General features: G+C 41.1%; 1 long non-coding RNA gene across 1 annotated transcript in view, besides 1 other annotated feature; it reads right to left on the bottom strand.

The window, feature by feature from the left end:
* Window positions 1-16,943, bottom strand: part of ACTR3-AS1 (ACTR3 antisense RNA 1) — a 59,810-nt gene that overhangs the window by 18,146 nt on the left and 24,721 nt on the right. Inside the window, exon 2 of the long non-coding RNA NR_110174.1 lies at window positions 12,136-12,233. This is a non-coding gene — a long non-coding RNA (ACTR3 antisense RNA 1). The remainder of the gene's footprint in view (window positions 1-12,135; window positions 12,234-16,943) is intronic.
* Window positions 12,671-12,720: a silencer, noted in NCBI's record as "silent region_11887". NCBI's record gives its function as "represses an Ori minimal core promoter by ATAC-STARR-seq in GM12878 lymphoblastoid cells {active_cell/tissue: GM12878}" and the evidence as "EXISTENCE:reporter gene assay evidence [ECO:0000049][PMID:35858748]".

Raw genomic sequence — 16,943 nt, forward strand, 5'->3', positions numbered from 1 at the left:
CTGATCTGCAGTCCACAGTTTTGTACCTTGATATTCTAATTATGTGTAGTCCTCCTTTGTTACATATGTAACTACAGCTTCACAGGAACTTCTTGCAGGTACTGCTTTATCACATATATCACCATGGTTTGCATAGTGAAATATAGAGAGATGGTAAAGGAATACACACACAGATGTATGTACATAGAGTAAAAGCAGGAAGAGAATGTCTCATTTTTGTTTTGTGGTCTGTCTTTAATATCATTTTCTCATTCAATCCTCATAATAGTCATATATGGGTAGTATTTTTCTTTTTATCTTAATTTTAGAGATGAGAAAATGATGCTTAGAAAAGTGAAATAAGGGCCGGGCATGGTGGCTCACGCCTGTAATCCCAGCACTTTGGGAGGCTGAGGTGGGTGGATCACGAGGTCAGGAGTTTGAGACCAGCCTGGCCAATATAGTGAAACCCCGTTTCTACTGAAAAATACAAAAATTAGCCGGGCGTGGTGGCGCGCTCCTGTAGTCCCAGCTACTCAGGAGACTGAGGCAGGAGAATCACTTGAACCCAGGAGGCGGAGGTTGCAGTGAGCCGAGATCGCGCCACCGTACTCCAGCCTGGGAGACAGAGTGAGACTCCATCTCAAAAAAAAAAAGAAAAAGAAAAGAAAAAAAGAAAAGTGAAATTAGTATTCCAAAGCCCCATAACTACTAAATGGCAAATCCAAGATTCAAACCCAGGTTTAATTCCAAAGGCAATGGTCTTTACTAAGTAGTATCCCCTACATTCCAAAAAACAAAAAATCTCTTAATAAGATATTGAAATTTCTCCAATAATATATTTCCAACAAATGATTTAATTGTCACTGAAAATAAACTATAAAATCAATATATTCTGCTACAGCCAATGGAGAAGTTAAAGATGTCTTCAGCCACATTAATAGAGGGAAAACTACAAAGGGTGCCCCAGAGCAGAATTCAGTGCAGGTTTAAGTACATGGCCAAAAAAAGCTAAAACCTTAACATTTAAAAATTTTTATCAGAGGTTAGAGATAACCTTGAAAAATAATAGACCATTTACTTGTTTCAAAAATGACAGATTGCTTCTTGGCCGCAACTTCTATTTACCAGAGACAAAAAGTAGAGACTAAAAGAATTTTTTTAAATACAAGATCAAAACTCCAGTTTCATTCATTCAGTAGGAGGCTTTCCAATATGACCAAGGGGCACTGTTGGACAAAAGAGACATAAACAGTTTAAAGCCTCAGGCTCCACTCACAAGAAGTTTATCATTCACTAGGGGAGCGGAGGAGTCTACCTCTGGGTGCAAGAAAGTACTAAGTCAAGTGAGGCCCCATTCCAAAGGGTCCTGACAGCCAGGCAGAGAATTTTGGACTGACAGCTGTCAAAAAGGGAGTTTGGGGCAGCAAAGCATTAAGAGGCCACTCTGTGCCCAGGCTGCATTAAACTCGGCGTGTGTACTACTGAGAAAAAGAGATGTGGTAACCAGAGGCTTTCACAATGAGATGAGATAAGGTAACAGTCTAAAATAAATTAATCGAAATGGTTCTGAACATGATAAGATGTAGGGTTTAGATGAGAGAGGGTGAGGCAGCTGCTAAAAAAGAAGAGATGTACATATTTCTCCAGCAGAAACAGGTTATGCAATCCAGGGCAGCTTGTACAATGGAAGGAAAATATGTTAATTAGATGGAAAGTGGACTGTCTACTATGGGTGTGTGTGTGTTGGGGAGCAGAATTATAAGTGAAAAATCAAAGATGAACTCCTAAGCAGAGCTTTCATGGGGTGATATAAGGGAGGTTTTGGGTTGTTTTTTTTTTTTTTTTTTTTTGAGATGGTATCTCGCTCTGTCTGTCGCCCAGGCTGGAGTGCAGTGGCACCACCTCGGCTCACTGCAAGCTCCGCCTCCCAGGTTCATGCCATTCTCCTGCCTCAGCCTCCCGAGTAGCTAGGACTACAGGCTCCCACCACCACGCCTGGCTAATTTTTTGTATTTTTAGCAGAGATGGGGTTTCACCATGTTAGCCAGGATGGTCTCGACCTCCTGACCTCGTGATCCACCCTCCTCGGCCTCCCAAAGTGCTAGGGAGCCGAGGCATGAGACACCGCGCCCGGCCGGGAGGTTTTTTAGCTTCCTTTTACAATTTTTCTATTTTTTTCTAATTGAATAACTAATACATGAATATATTTTCCTTGAAAAAGTTACAAAATTTATAGGTCAAAATGAAGTCCCCTTTGACCATCTCTCAACTCTACCCTGCCAAATCCCAACACCCTCCCCAGTGTATCTTTTTTGGAAATCTGGAGTACAAGCATATGTAGTATTTCAGCATGATGAACAAAATTAAAAAAAAAAAAAAACAGGAAAAGGAAAGCTTGCAGTAATCATAACACTAACACCCTTTTATTAAGCAGGGGCTGTGTTAGACGGTTGCAGATAAGCTATTAGCTCATTCAGCAAATGTGCTGTGAGCAACTACAAAGTACCAGGAGCTGGGAATACAACAATGACCTCAAGGCGAGCATAACCACTTCCAAGGTTGGCATCATTTCCCACAATATACTGATAAGGAAAGTGAGACTCAGAAAAATTACACAACTCACCCAAGGTTACTGCAAGTTGAGCGGTAGTGCTGGGATTCAAATTCTGGCCCTCCTTCTACAACTGTCTTCAAAGCCTGGCTCTCCTTCTACAACTATCTGATGGTTTTTAAACCATTTGTTACAAAAGTGGAAGTCTTTTTAAATTTTTTAATGAAAATATAATAAAATTACTATATTGTAGTTCAATATAGAGAAAACAAACGTAAAAGTGGATGTGCTCTGGTTCATTTGAAGTGGCCTACGCAGAAAGATGATTTTGTTTTTATCAAGAGGACGGGAAGAGATTGCTTATATGAAATATCCCAAAGGCCCAAGTCTTCTATTGCCAAACAGCTTTAGGTGTAACTACCAGGCATCCTTGGTAGAGATCATCAGGGCCAATGAATTACATACTGGGCAATGCCTGGGAATTACAGATTCCTATCCTCCTCCCACTACTTGTGACCCTCCATTGCTAATTTTGAATTCAATGGGATTCAGAGATCCATTGTAAAAGGGTAGTTAAAAGCTACCCTTTGGTGACTCTGATGATCAACCAGGTTTGAGAAGTAATTCTAGTACAACTTGTTGTTTTGCTTAATTCATCTCCTTTAGGGATCCTGCTTTGCCACCCCATCCTCCACCCACTCTTTCGATTTAGAAACAACTGACGAGACTTGTGCCGTAGGGACACTTGTGTGGTATGCCCAGCACTAGTGGATTACCATCCTGGAATGCCTTGGTTTCCTTCCTTCTGCTCTGATTTTTTATTTCTACTCACCCTTCAGTTATGAACCACATAATCCTTTCTAGAATGATACAGGTCTGGTTATTCCTGGCCCTAGTCTAATCATTGCTCCCTAATTACTGCTTTAACTTCACATTTATCGTTGGTGAAGTTTTAAATTCCCTCCCATGTAATACCAGGGATATTTCATGCGGCATCTACGCTTTTTTCCTGATGGTGTGTCCTAGTAGGACTCCATGTGCCTCTGCTGCATGAATCTTCCCAGATCAATCCCAGCTTCTGTACTCAGGACACTACTGTTTATTGCAGCAATCATTTTTATAATATCCCCCAATGAGCAGTTATTCAATGTCTGCTTATTTCCAATAATAGAAAATTCTTTTTATTAAAGAACCTGTTCTGCTGTTGAAGAAGAGGAACTGCTTTAAAGAAAGATTCCACCAGATCTTGAGCTAAACCTAGCTTTTCTGTACTTTCTGCCCATTGGTTCTTCCCTCCTGAACAGTGGTTCTCAATGTGGTTCAGCCCCAGCAGCAACAGCTTCACCTGGGAACTTGTTAGGATTGCAGTTCTCAGGCTCCACCCTAGACCTACTGAACAGAAACTCTGGGGAAGAGGCTTAGGGATACAGCCCCCGAGGGATCTGATGGACTCAAGTTTGAGACCCTCTGCATTAGAAAGCAAAGCTTCTTCTAGACCACTGGTCTGGATACTTTTAGCCTGGCCTGGAGTTTCGGATCACAATGAGGCTACATGTGTTGTTGGCTCAATCCCCAAAAGACCCTTTAGTTTTCCAATGCAGTTTATCTCTTGGTCTAAGGGCATAATATTGATTGTAGCCTTTGGAGGGGGTGGAAACAAGTGAAGCTTTCAGTTCTGTGTTTCTGACCATGTTTAGGCTTTCCTGGGGACAAAATATTCCTTAGGCTTTTTCACACCATTGACCAGGCACACAAAGCAGTCAATATATTTCCAGCATAAACACAGAATACTAGTTTTTGATACACAGTGTGTCTTGTATATATTTAACAGATAGATGGTTTGGAATACCTGGGAGCTATGAGGGTCAGTTTTGGTCAACATCAGGGGTGGTTAATCACAAGGACTTCATGAGGGCTGTGAGAATTATGGTGAACTTTGATAGATGGAAGTAATGCAATTAAGTTATTAATTAGTTATGCTGGAGTTAATCAAAAGAGAGATAACCCTAGGTGAGCCTAACTTTTAGAAGATAACGTTTGGCCAGGCACGGTGGCTCACACCTGTAATCCCAGCACTTTAGGAGGCCAGGGCAGGAGGATTGCTTGAGCCCAGGAGCTCAAGACCAGCATGGGCAAAATAGAGAGACTCCATCTCTACAAAAAAATATTTAAAAATTAGCAGGGTGTGGCAGTGTGTGCCTCTAGTCCCAGCTACTAAGAGGCTGAGGTGGGAGGATTTCTTGAGCCTGGTAGGTCAAGGCAGCAGTGAGCTGTGATTGTACTACTGCACTCCAGCCTGGACAACAGAGTGAGACTCTGTCTCAAAAAAATAAAAATAAAAAAGAAGAAGGTAACTTTCTTGAAGGTGAAGACTCAGAGAGACTCTGCTGGCATAGAAGAAATCAAACCGTCCTTAAGAAGAGGTATGGGGAGCTGCAGGAGCCACTTTGTAAGAAGCTGAGGGTGACCTCTTAGAGTTGAAAGCAGTCCCTGACTGAGAGTTAGCAAGTGTTAGCAATGACCTTGGTCACTGTCTTAGTCTGAATGTGCTGCTATGACAAAATACCTTAGTCTGGGCAATCTATAAACAACAGAAATTTATTTCTCACAGTTCTGGAGGTTGTGACAGTGAAGATCAAGGTGCCTGCTGACTCAGTGTCTGGTGAGAGCCCACTCTTCATAGATGGCCCCTTCTCTTTGCAAAAGGGCAAAAAGGGCAAACAAGCTCTCTGTGGACTCTTTTATAAGGGCACTAATTCCTCCCTCATGACCTACTCACATCCGAAAGGCCCCGCCTTTTAATAACATGACTTTAGGAGTTAGAGTTTCAACATGTACATTTGGGAGGGGGGACACATAAATTTAGACAATAGCAATCAATGTACTGCAAGGAAATGAACTGTGCCAACTACCCGCGCACCTGGAGGAGGACCCTGAGCCTCAGATGAGGTCATGGCCCCAGCTTGCAACTCCTTGTCTGAGCTGGTGAGACCCACAGCAGAGGGCCCAGGTAACCCACACCTGCACTCCTGACCCACAGAAACTGTGAGAGAACACATTTGTTTTAAGCCACTATGTTTGTAATAATCTGTCATGCAGCAGTAGAAAAGCAATGTACTACACTTCAGCAAATTGTTGCAGTCAGAGAGAAAAGTTTCCAAAGTTAGTTACCACTGTGCCCCCAAAACAGTGAATGTTGAATAAGCCTTGACAGTAGGTGGAAGTTTGGATGACCATGTTTGAGAAAGGAGGGTGATGAGGGGCAAGCGTCCTGTTGAGAAAGAGGAAGTTATGTGCTGCTTTGTGAGAGGGCATGGTTACTGATGTGCACGTGGCTACGTGAGAAAGGCCTCAAGCCCTGTGTTCTTTTAGGACCATTTAGGAATATTGGAGAGATGTTTCAAGACCCAGTGGTAGGAGATTGAGGCACCAGTGGTGGAAGCAGTCTCTGGTGAAGTGAAAACTGAGGACCTCTGCAAGGCCACACTCATTGGGTCAGGAGGGTTTTTCTCCACTAAGGAAGATAAAATCTTGTCCACAGATCAACCATGGATCCTGACAATGCAGCAGTCAGTAAAAAGGGCTCCTGCACCCACTGAGTAATGAGGCAGTGTTTCTCTCTCAGACTCACCCGGGGCACTGTCCTCTGAGCGGATGCATCCTCCCTCAGACTCACCCAGGGTGCTGTCCTCTGAGCGGATGCTTCTTCCTCTGCCACAGACTTGAGTAGCATCTGCAGTGTCCCTCTGCCTGACTTGCAGCTCGGGGATGTCCTGTGCTCAAAATTCCTCTTGCCAACTGAATGGACTCCCTCACCTTCCCTCTGACTGTTATCTTATTAAAAACCTCTTCCTGAACTGACCCCATCGAAGCCTTACCACTAATTTCTGCTGGTTTTGATCTAAATAGGGTCAGCCTCAAACACTATCCACAACTGCTCTGATTTCACCAAACTGAATTCTTATTAATGTGACTGAATAGGACCCTTTTTGAAAGAACACGTTTTTTAGGAATTGACTGAAAACAATTAATGGGTGGACAGCTTTCATGTGGTTTGAACTTAGGAGAATCTGAAGTGGTAGAACATTGACTAAATTATTAAAATTACATACTGAGGACATACAACAAGCAAAGTGCTATATCACATACTATGAAGATTCAGAAAGTGGAAGGTGTGGTTCATCTTCATCTCATCTTATTTGGTAGATAAAATAGAACATAAGAAATTAACAACACAAAACACACATAATAATTTAATATGGCAAAACAGCAGGCTGATTACCAATGAATGATAAGAATAAAAACTTCGATACAAGTTCTACGAGGACCAAATCACTGTGAGCTCTTTGGATCAGGAAACTTCCTGGATGAGAAGAAAAGAAATTCAAATAAAATTTTTTTTTAAAGAGACACAGTCTCACTGTGTTGCTCAGGCTGAAGGTGAACTCCTAGGCTCAAGCAGTCCTCCTGCCTCAGCCTCCTAAGTAGCCTGGGGTGGTAGGTGTGTGCCTTTGTGCCTGGTAAGAAGTAAATTTTTGATCTGGATTTTAAAGGCAATGCTATGGGCTGAATATTGCCCCCACCCCCAAATTTAGATGTTGAAGTCCTAACCCCTAGTATGCCAAATGTGACTGACTGTATTTTGTATATTTTAAGATAAAATCTGCTATGGTTTGAATTTGTCTCTTCAAAAATTTAAGTGTTGCCAATGTTATCGTATTAAGATGTGGGGCTTTTAAGAGGTGTTTAGGCCATGAGGGCTCCTTCCTCATGAATGGAATGAGGTGCCCTCATAAAAGGGCTTGATGAAGGAAGTTTGTCCCTTTTTGTCCTGCTGCCTTCTGCCTGATGAAGGGAGTTTGTCCCTTTTTGTCCTTCTGCCTTCTGCCTGATGAAGGAAGTTTGTCCCTTTTTGTCCTTCTGCCTTCTGCCATGTGAGGACACAGCATTCCTCCCCTCTGGAGGTCATGGCATTCAAGGCACCATCTTGGAAGCAGAGATAGGACCCTTACCAGAAAATGAACCTGCCTGTGCCTTGATCTTGGCCCAGTCTCCAGACTGCTAAAAATAAGTTTCTGGTTTTTTTTGTTTTGTTTTTTTTTAACAAATTATCCAGTCTGTGGTATTCTGTTATAGCAGCACAAACAAAGACAGGTTCTATAAAGGGATAATTAGGTTAAAATGAAGTCATTAGGGCGGGCCCTATCTAATATGACTGGTGTCCTCATGAAAAGCATAAATTAAGACAGACACACAGAGAGGAAAGACCCTATGAGGATACAGGGTGAAGATGGCCATGTACAAGCCAAAGAGAGGCCTCAAAAGAGATGAACCTTGTGGACACATTGGCCTTGGATTATAGCCTTCAGAATTGTGAGAACAACTTCTGTTGTGCAAGCCACCCAGTCTGTGGTATACTCCATTATAGCAGCCCTAGCAAAGCAATATGGGAAATACCTGGTAACATTTACTCTTTTGAATATAGAGAATTAACTGATTCTATAAGGGAAAGAGGAGATAAAGAGAGCAATAGAAGAGACTGGATAAAAACAAGAAGATGAATTTCAGGAAATAGTGAAGATAGCAATAAGAGGATAAGAAAAAGTGCACCAGGGATCCCCAACATGAACTTTTGCTGAGGAAAGAAAATCAAGATTACTTACTCCAACAGGGATACCTTTGTCTTGAGACAGTGGAGAGAACTTCATGGGCTCAATGAGAAAAAGGCAAGGAAGAAGCAGGAGAGAACTTTAGGGAAGTGAATGGAATGAAACTAAAAGGAAGTGAGAAGCACTATGGAGATACCTCAGCTACTTAAGACAGAATACAGGAAGGGGAAGTAACATGAATCCCAAGACTAAAGAAAGTAAAACATGAAGAATGTGAGGGAGTAAAAGGAGTTTGAAGGAAAACTGGAGGAGCTAAAAACGAACCATACACATATGGGCCAAGTGTTATATAAGCGAGAAACAGGTCACTGAGATAGCATTAGATCATTCGAGCTTGGAGTCACTGTTTACAGGGATCAGAAAAAAAAGGAAATAGGGTTTAATTTTAAGATAAGAAACAGGCTGGGCACGGTGGCTCACGCCTGTAATCCCAGCACTTTGGGAGGCTGAGGCGGGCAGATCATGAGGTCGGGAGTTCGAGACCAGCCTGACCGACATGGTAAAACCCCATCTCTACTAAAAATACAAAAATTAGCTGGGCGTGGTGGCATGTGCCTGTAATCCCAGCTACTCATAAGGCTGAGAATCATTTGAACCCGGGAGGCGGAGGTTGCAGTGAGCCGAGATCATGCCACTGCACTCCAGCCTGGGCGACAGAGCAAGACTCCATCTCAAAAAATAAAAATAAAAATAAAATAAGAAACAAAGTTATATGGGAAGACTGGACTTGGACATCAACTTTTTAAACCTTTCCTGGATCCTGTGAGCCAATAAATTCCTCTTTGTGTCTAAGTTAGTTCAAGTTAGGTTACTGCCCTTTAAAATCAACCAACCAAAGTAATAAAAACTGTCAATGGAGGAGGAGTGAGACATTTCTTTTTGGCTATGTTGAATAGATGAGATATAATTTACCCAAAGTGTAGTTTACAGACAAGCCAGTCACCACACAGCCCACTTCTGGGGGTAACTGCAGAGCCTACAGGTCCTACTAAGAAGGTGGCCATGTTCTATGCCACGTTCTCTGCCCCGCTTCCAGAACCCCTCAGCCCCCAGTTCTCCCAGCTCAGCTGACTAGAATCAGGAATGTGCTCATGATCCAAAGGCCATCAGTTTTTCTATGGGTTTATGGCCCACGAGGAGGTTTAGCATATAGAACCTCTGCTTCAATAGGGATACTACTGAGTCAAACAGACATTATTGCCTAGAAATTTCATGTGGAACTGACAAATTGTGAATAAGTTGAAGTTTTGAGTTATCAGAAAGGAGGAGTGAGCAGTTATGAACAAGCAGAAGCTATAGGTAAGCCAAAATCAAACGGTATTTATAGGAGAGTTGAAAAATTAGTAGAAATGGGAATGGTAGCAGTACAGTTGGAGGGATGCTGAGTCACTGCATTTATGGGATCCCTGAACTTGCCAAGGCAGCAAGAAGATGACTCAGATTGGTGACTCTTCCACTGGATGCTTCTAGTTCCTGAGTGACTTCCAGAGTCCAAGAGGCCCAGCTCGACAGCTTTTCTTGATATGCCAGAAGGTCCTTAAAGTCCTTATTTCCATAAATACCGTCACGATACCCCTGCTCCCATCACCCAGATGAACCGCTGTTCTTTGTAGTGAAATGGTCTTAACAAACATCTCAATAATAACATTGGCTAACACTTATTTAACATGGATTATGTGCCAAGCACTGAGATATTAATTTTACACATTGTACCTCACTTAATTTTCTCAACAATCCTATGAGGCAGGTACATATTATTCTTACCAATTTATGGATGGAGAAACCTAACTTAGAGAGGTTACCTTGCTTGTCCAAGTCACATCTTCTGTAGGGGAGCTAAGTCTGAAGCAGATCTGTATAACTCTAGAGTCCAAACATGTAATTATATTTAACTTCTCTCAAGTTACTCAGTTCCCTTGGGATCATTTCGGGTGTAGAGAGTGTAAGTAATTTAACTTTAAGTCATAAAATAAGAAATGTAGCAACCAGAACTAAAAGGGGAAAAAAGACTCATCATGAATATCACGTGTTATAAAATAATCATGTGTCTTGCTGAAACTTCATAAAAGAGAAGTTCTAGAAAGTTATCCCAAAGCAAGAAGTGGTGAATGGGAATTTATTACTAATTTTAGATACATAATATGTGCCAGATGTATTGTCCTATTTGAACAAATGGCTAAGGAAAATATGTATTCTTTGTAGTTTAATAGTGGCCTCAATTTTCCTAATTTGCTTCATAAAGTCTTACGCTCTTGACAGGGAATTCTCCTGCAAAGGGGTTTTTAGAAATCAACCATGGATGTAGAGAAGAGACTACTTTGCATAAAAAAAAGAGAAGTGAAACTGTAGAGTTTAAAAAAAAAAATGTGGCCAGGGACGGTGGCTCATGCCTATAATCCCAGCACTTTGGGAGGCTGAGACAGGTGGATCACCTGAGGTCAAGAGTTCAAGACTAGCCTGGCCAACATGGTGAAACCCTTTCTCTACGAAACGTACAAAAATTAGCTGTGTGTGGTGGCGTGCGCCTGTAGTCCCAGCTACTCAGGAGGCTGAGGCAGGAGAATTGTTTGAACCCAGGAGGTGGAGTTTTCAGTGAGCTGAGATTGTACCACTGCACTCCAGCCTGAGCAACAGAGCGAGACTCATCTCAAAATAAATAAATAAAATAAAAAATATATGTGTAAGAAAAATAAACTGTGAGATATGAAGTGTAAAATTTCAACTCTTCTAATTATGCTGAATTAATAACTAAAATTTATTTTTCAAAAACTGGAAAATTTAGCAGAGATGTAGCTATTTAAAAATGAATAATAATGTTGAATATGTGTTTGCTCCATGAGGGCATAGATTTTTGTATTTCCTTCACTACTGGATCCTTAGAAGCTGGAACAGACTCTGTTATATAGTAGATGTTCAATAAAAATCTGTTAAATAGAACAAATAAATGACTGAACTCAGAAAACTGAGATTATTCTCTGAATTGTATCTCTAAATGATATACGAGCAAGTCATTTAGCATATTTGGATGCAAGTTTTATTTATTTATTTGTGAGATTTTTGTGTTATAAAAGATACTGCAAGGAGAGGGAATTTGTTCTACTAGACATAAAACCGAACAGCATGGCACTGGTTTAGGAACAGGCAATAAGTCAAAGGAACAGACTAGAAAATGTAGAGATAGACTTTGTATACACACATACACACACACTCACACTCACACTCACACTTATTTAAACAACATCAGTATATAATATAAAATGAATTGTTTATGACATCAGGCCATTGATTAAGATAAATAATATTAATTCCCTTTCAAGCCATATACAAAGCTAAATTCCAGATAGATCAAGGACTTGAACATGTTTTAATAAAAAAGCAAAGTATAGTCGGGCACGGTGGCTCATGTATGTAATCCCAGCACCTTGGGAGGCCAAGGTGGGTGGATTTCTTGAGGCCAGGAGTTCGAGACCAGCCTGGCAAACAAGGCAAAACCCCATCTCTACTAAACATACAAAAATTAGCCGGGCATGGTGGCACACACCTGTAATCCCAGCTACTACTCAGGAGGCTGAGGAATGAGAATCACTTGAACTTGGGAGGTGGAGGTTGCAGTGAGCTGAGATTGCACCACTGCACTGCAGCCTGGGTGACAGAGCGAGACTCTGTCTCAAAAAAAGAAGCAAAGTATAAAACTACTAGGAACAAAATTCACAAATTCATAGAAATGTTTTTTATAACCTTACCGTGGTGTATCCTTTGTAAGAGTAATGCCAGGCTAGGCCCAGTGGCACATGCCTGTAATCCCAGCACTTTGGGAGGTTGAGGCAGGTAGATCGCTTGAGCCTAGGAGTTGGAGACCAGCCTGGGCAACATAGTGAGATCCTGTCTCTGTGAAAAAAAATAATAATAATAACTGGGTGTGGTGGTACATACCTGTGGTCCTAGCTACTTGGGAGGCTGAGGTAGGAGGATTCTTTGAGTCCAGGAGGCAGACGCTGCAGTGAGCCATGACTGCACCACTGCACTCTTATCTGGGTGACAAAAAGAGAACATGTCTCAAAACAATATTTTAAAAAAGAGTAACACCAAAGCCAAAACTATAAATAAAACAGATTACAGTATGAACAATTATGTGCATTAGAGTGCAGGAGAAAATAAAAAGTGTTATGGAACTAAGAGGAAAACTTGGACGATTGAAGATGGTACCATACATCCAGGCTAATGATGTTACTTTAAAATATTTCTTATGCCTGTCACAGCGGCTCACGCCTGTAATCCCAGCATTTTGGGAGGCTGAGGTGGGACAATTGCTTGAGCCCAGGTGTTCAAGACCAGCCTGAGCAACACAGTGAGAACCTGTCTCTATGAAAAATAAAAAATTAACCAGGCGTGGTGCCATGCACCTGTGGTCCCAGCTGCTCAGGAGGTTGAAGTGGGAGAGTCACTCGAACCCAGGAGGTTGAGGCTGCAGTGATCGCACCACTGTACTCCAGCATGGGCAACCGAGGGAGACCCTGTCTCAAAAATAAAATAAATAGAATATTTCTTAAATTATGAAACTTTTATCGCATTACCAAAACTTTAGGGAAATAGAAAATAGAAAAAACATCCCCTGAGTACAACACAGTGACTATCATTTTTGCTTATTCCCTTGCAATATTTTTCATAGGCATTTTTTTGCTAAGATATTTCACATGCCATAAAATTCACTCCTTTAGAGTGTACACTTTAGTGGATTTTAGTATATTCACAAAGATGTGTAAGCATCACCACTCTTTTAATTCCAAAACGTTTTCATCCCCCACCCCAGAAAACATGACGGCAACCCATTAGCAGTTACTGTTCACCCCCACTCCCTCAGCCAAAATCTACTTTCTGTCTCTGTTTGTCATAGGCATGTTTTAAACCCATTTGAATTATAGAAGCCTTCTTTGTTTCATTTAAGTGTCTATCAGAAACAAGCTTTCCATAAGTGAACAGTCTTCAACCTTTTGTACAGAAAATCAACTCTAAAATGTTTGCAGAGGGCAAAATATAAAAGGAAGAAAAACAGAAAGAAAAAGGGTCATTCCAGGATACCAATTAAAAGATGAAAATGTACACAATTTATAAGCAAGTATACAACACAGGTCAAGAAGTGAATAGGGATTCTTTGATGCTTTCACTTTCTTAGTAAAAAAAAAAAAAAAAAGAAGAAAAAGTAAATAGGGCCAGGAGCGGTGGTTCACGCCTGTAATCCTAGCACTTTGGGAGCCAAGGCAGGTGGATCACCTGAGGTCAGGAGTTCGAGACCAGCCTGGCCAATATGGTGAAACCTCATCTCTACTAAAAATACAAAAAATTAGCCAGGCATGGTGGTGGGCGCCTGTAATCCCAGCTACTCGGGAGGCTGTGGCAGGAGAATCCCTTGAACCCAGGAGGTGGAGGTTGCAGTGAGCCAAGATCGTGCCATTGCACTCCAGCCTGGGCAACAAGAGCGAAACTCCATCTCCAAGAAAAAAAAAAAAGTGAAACAGCACTAGGTCAGATTATTGAAGAAAGGAACATTTTCTGGGGTCTGATGGTTTTACTATTGTGTTATCCTCAAAAAAATTTTTTGACCAAGGCAGTACACGCACATATTTACAAAAAAGTCAACAATGCTGAAGAGCTTATTGTAAGAGGTAAGAAAGCTTTGCCAGTCCTTCCCACCCCCAACCCACCCCGTTACCTTCCACTCAAGCCCTAGAACAAGTCTGACTTCTTAACGGCTACAGTTTCAAAAATTCTTCTGGGTGGTTACTTCCCTATCTCTAAATAATACAGTTATATCACCACTTCTTTATTTATCAGACAGACAGGCTTTATCTGTGGACTTCCTTCCTATTCTGATAGATGAGAACTTAGTTCACTTACACCCTCCTCCCTCCCAATATGGATGTCTCATTATTTTTAGTTCCTCTATTGTAATTTTAGGTAACTTATTTACTTGAATTCCTCTTTGTAATTTTCTTAATATATGAATATTTGCTTCCTGTTCTGCTAACTGTAACTTGTATCTCTCAAGTCCCCACTTTGTGTGGATCTTCTTCCCTTCTACTTCCAAAATTCTGTCTGCATGTTGTTTTCTAGATTTCAATAGACTAAGTGAAAAAGTTCAAAGGACCAGCACAATGGAATATGAAGTTTTAACAAATGACATTCAAAAAACTGTGAAGTGGTTCACGCACATAAGCAAGAAACTAATATAGGAACACACATCCATCCATCATTCAGCTTTTTCAAATCTTAACATTATCACATATTTGCTTCCCTTTAAAAAGAGAAAGCATTGTCAGTCCACTGAGACCCCATGTACTATTGATTGTATTTCTCTTCTACCTCAATATTCATCATTATATCAAAATCGCTCTTATTAACTCAGCATTTACCATTCTACCACTTGATTTTATACTTTTGACACATACTTTGGCATCCATAAACATTGTATATTAGGCTGGGCATGATGGCTCACTCCTGTAATTATAGCATTTTGGGAAGCTGAGGCGGGTGGATAGCTTGTGCTCAGGAGTTTGAGACCAGCCTGGGCAACATGGTGAGACCCTATCTCTACCAAAAATACAAAAATTAGCTGGACATGGTGGTGCACACCTGTAATCCCAGCTACTCGGGAGGCTGAGGCAGGAAAATCACTTGAACTCGGGAAGTGGAAGTTGCAGTGAGCCGAGATCGTGCCACTGCACTCCAGCCTGGGTGACAGAGCGAGACTCTGTCTCAAAAAAAAAAAAAAAAAAAAAAAAAATATATATATATATATATATAATATACAATTTTGTATGTCACACTTAAAATTTAACATTTTTATTGACACAATTTCATTCATTAGACTTACCATTCCAAATATCATTTGATAGTGTGCCTATCATCCTAATTGCTTACTATTATAAATGATGCTGGTATAAGTACATTGGGTATTCTTAGCATAAATGGGGGAAGGGAACGCTAAGAAAAATTAGCAAATAAATTTTTAAAAGAAAAAAGATAAATGTGGGATATTTAGAATTTACCTTTGGATTCAATGGAACTGGGTTCTGTCTCTTATGCATTAATTATGTTTTAGCCTAACCTAATAGCTATGAAGTTCTGCTCACAGAATTTAAAAAGATCTGGAGACATTTATAAATGAGAAAAAGCATAGATGATAATAAAAAATATATGTGTACCTACAATTAATCAATGTTCATCACAGTTTTTTTTTTTTTTTTTTTTTAGAGGCAGGGTCTTGCTCTGTCACCCAGGCTGGAGTGCAGTGCTGTGATCATGGTTCACTGCAGCCTTGAACTCCTGGGCTCTGGCAATCCTCCTGCCTGAGCCTTCTGAGTAGCTGAGACTATAGATATGGGCCACCACACCTGGCTAATTTTTAATTTTTTTTAGTAGAGATGAAGTCTTGCTATGTTGACCAGGCTTGTGGGAGTTCAGTCAGGCTGGTGGAAAAAATTTTAAAGATAGTTATAAGAAATAGACACAAACCTTCTTGTAAGGCTGGAGAGGGTTTACATTGCTTCAGTAACAGATTTGGCTGAAAGCAGCCTAATCCTCTCTACCTTTAGCTGATAGCAAAAATGAAAATAACAAGGGAATGTGAGGAAGTTTATCTAAATAGCTTGCTTACTCATGTGGTCCTAAAACCAAACTTTGATCAACCTCAGGTGCATAATTGCTCTCTACTCAGGGGGTGAGCAATGTTAATTACCCTCTAGTGGTGTTTACTCGAGACCTTTGTCATTTAATCTGTATTAAATAAATGTGAACTTTGCTAGCTTATTGAGGTGATGCTCCAGATGCAGAGCAGAGCCCCTTAGCCAGACTGACAGGCAAAATATCTGTGTCAGTGTATGTCTCTCATCCATCACTGGTTCAGGGTCTGCGGGCTGGATTCCTGCACAGGCTGGTCTTGAACTCCTGGGCTCAAGCAATCCTCCCGCCTGAGCCTTCTGAGTAGCTGAGACTACAGATATGGGCCACCACACCTGGCTATTTTTAACATTTTTTAGTAGAGATGAAGTCTTGCTGTGTTGCCCAGGCTGGTCTTAAACTCCTGGGCTCAAGAGCTCCTCCTGCCTTGGCCTCCCAAAGTGCTGGGAGTACAGGCATGAGTCATGGTGCCCAGACGGACATTTTTTTAAAAATAAAGGAATACTCCTGAAACGCTGAAGTCTTCTTTGTACCCCTCTGTGATAACATGAATAGCCTCTTAATGACACCAAGGAGCAAGACAAGTTAGTCCCAAAGTAGCTCACATAGATGATGATAAAGGAATGAGGGGTGGGTGTGATCTATGCAAAAAACCCTTACTCTTTAATGGGTTGCTGTTTCTAACATAATTGCAACAGTACCCTACATTGCTATAATGCATTATAGTTTTCAAAGTGCTTTTGTGGCCTCCATAATAGAGAGGTTGTGAGGTAAGCTTCAACCACGGCTGCCCTACTACCCAAGAGTGGACACACAATGATGAATAGGTCAATTTCTGCCTCTTAGTTTCTTAGCTAGGGAGGGGCACTTACTGGAACAGCACAGAAAACAGAGTCTTTGGCCCAGTTGGAGAATCTTTATCAGGTTATGCTACTTCAAGCTTTCCTCCTGTTAAATGTGAGAGGAATAAATCCCTGTTCCTTGGATCAGTGTGACTCTGAAACAGCTGGAGGAGAGACAGCTTTAGGCAGGTTGAAACAGAGAGCTCCAGCATATGTACTTTT

The sequence above is a fragment of the Homo sapiens genome, chromosome 2 (assembly GCF_000001405.40).
Source record: "Homo sapiens chromosome 2, GRCh38.p14 Primary Assembly".
Classification (NCBI taxonomy): Eukaryota; Metazoa; Chordata; class Mammalia; order Primates; family Hominidae; genus Homo; species Homo sapiens.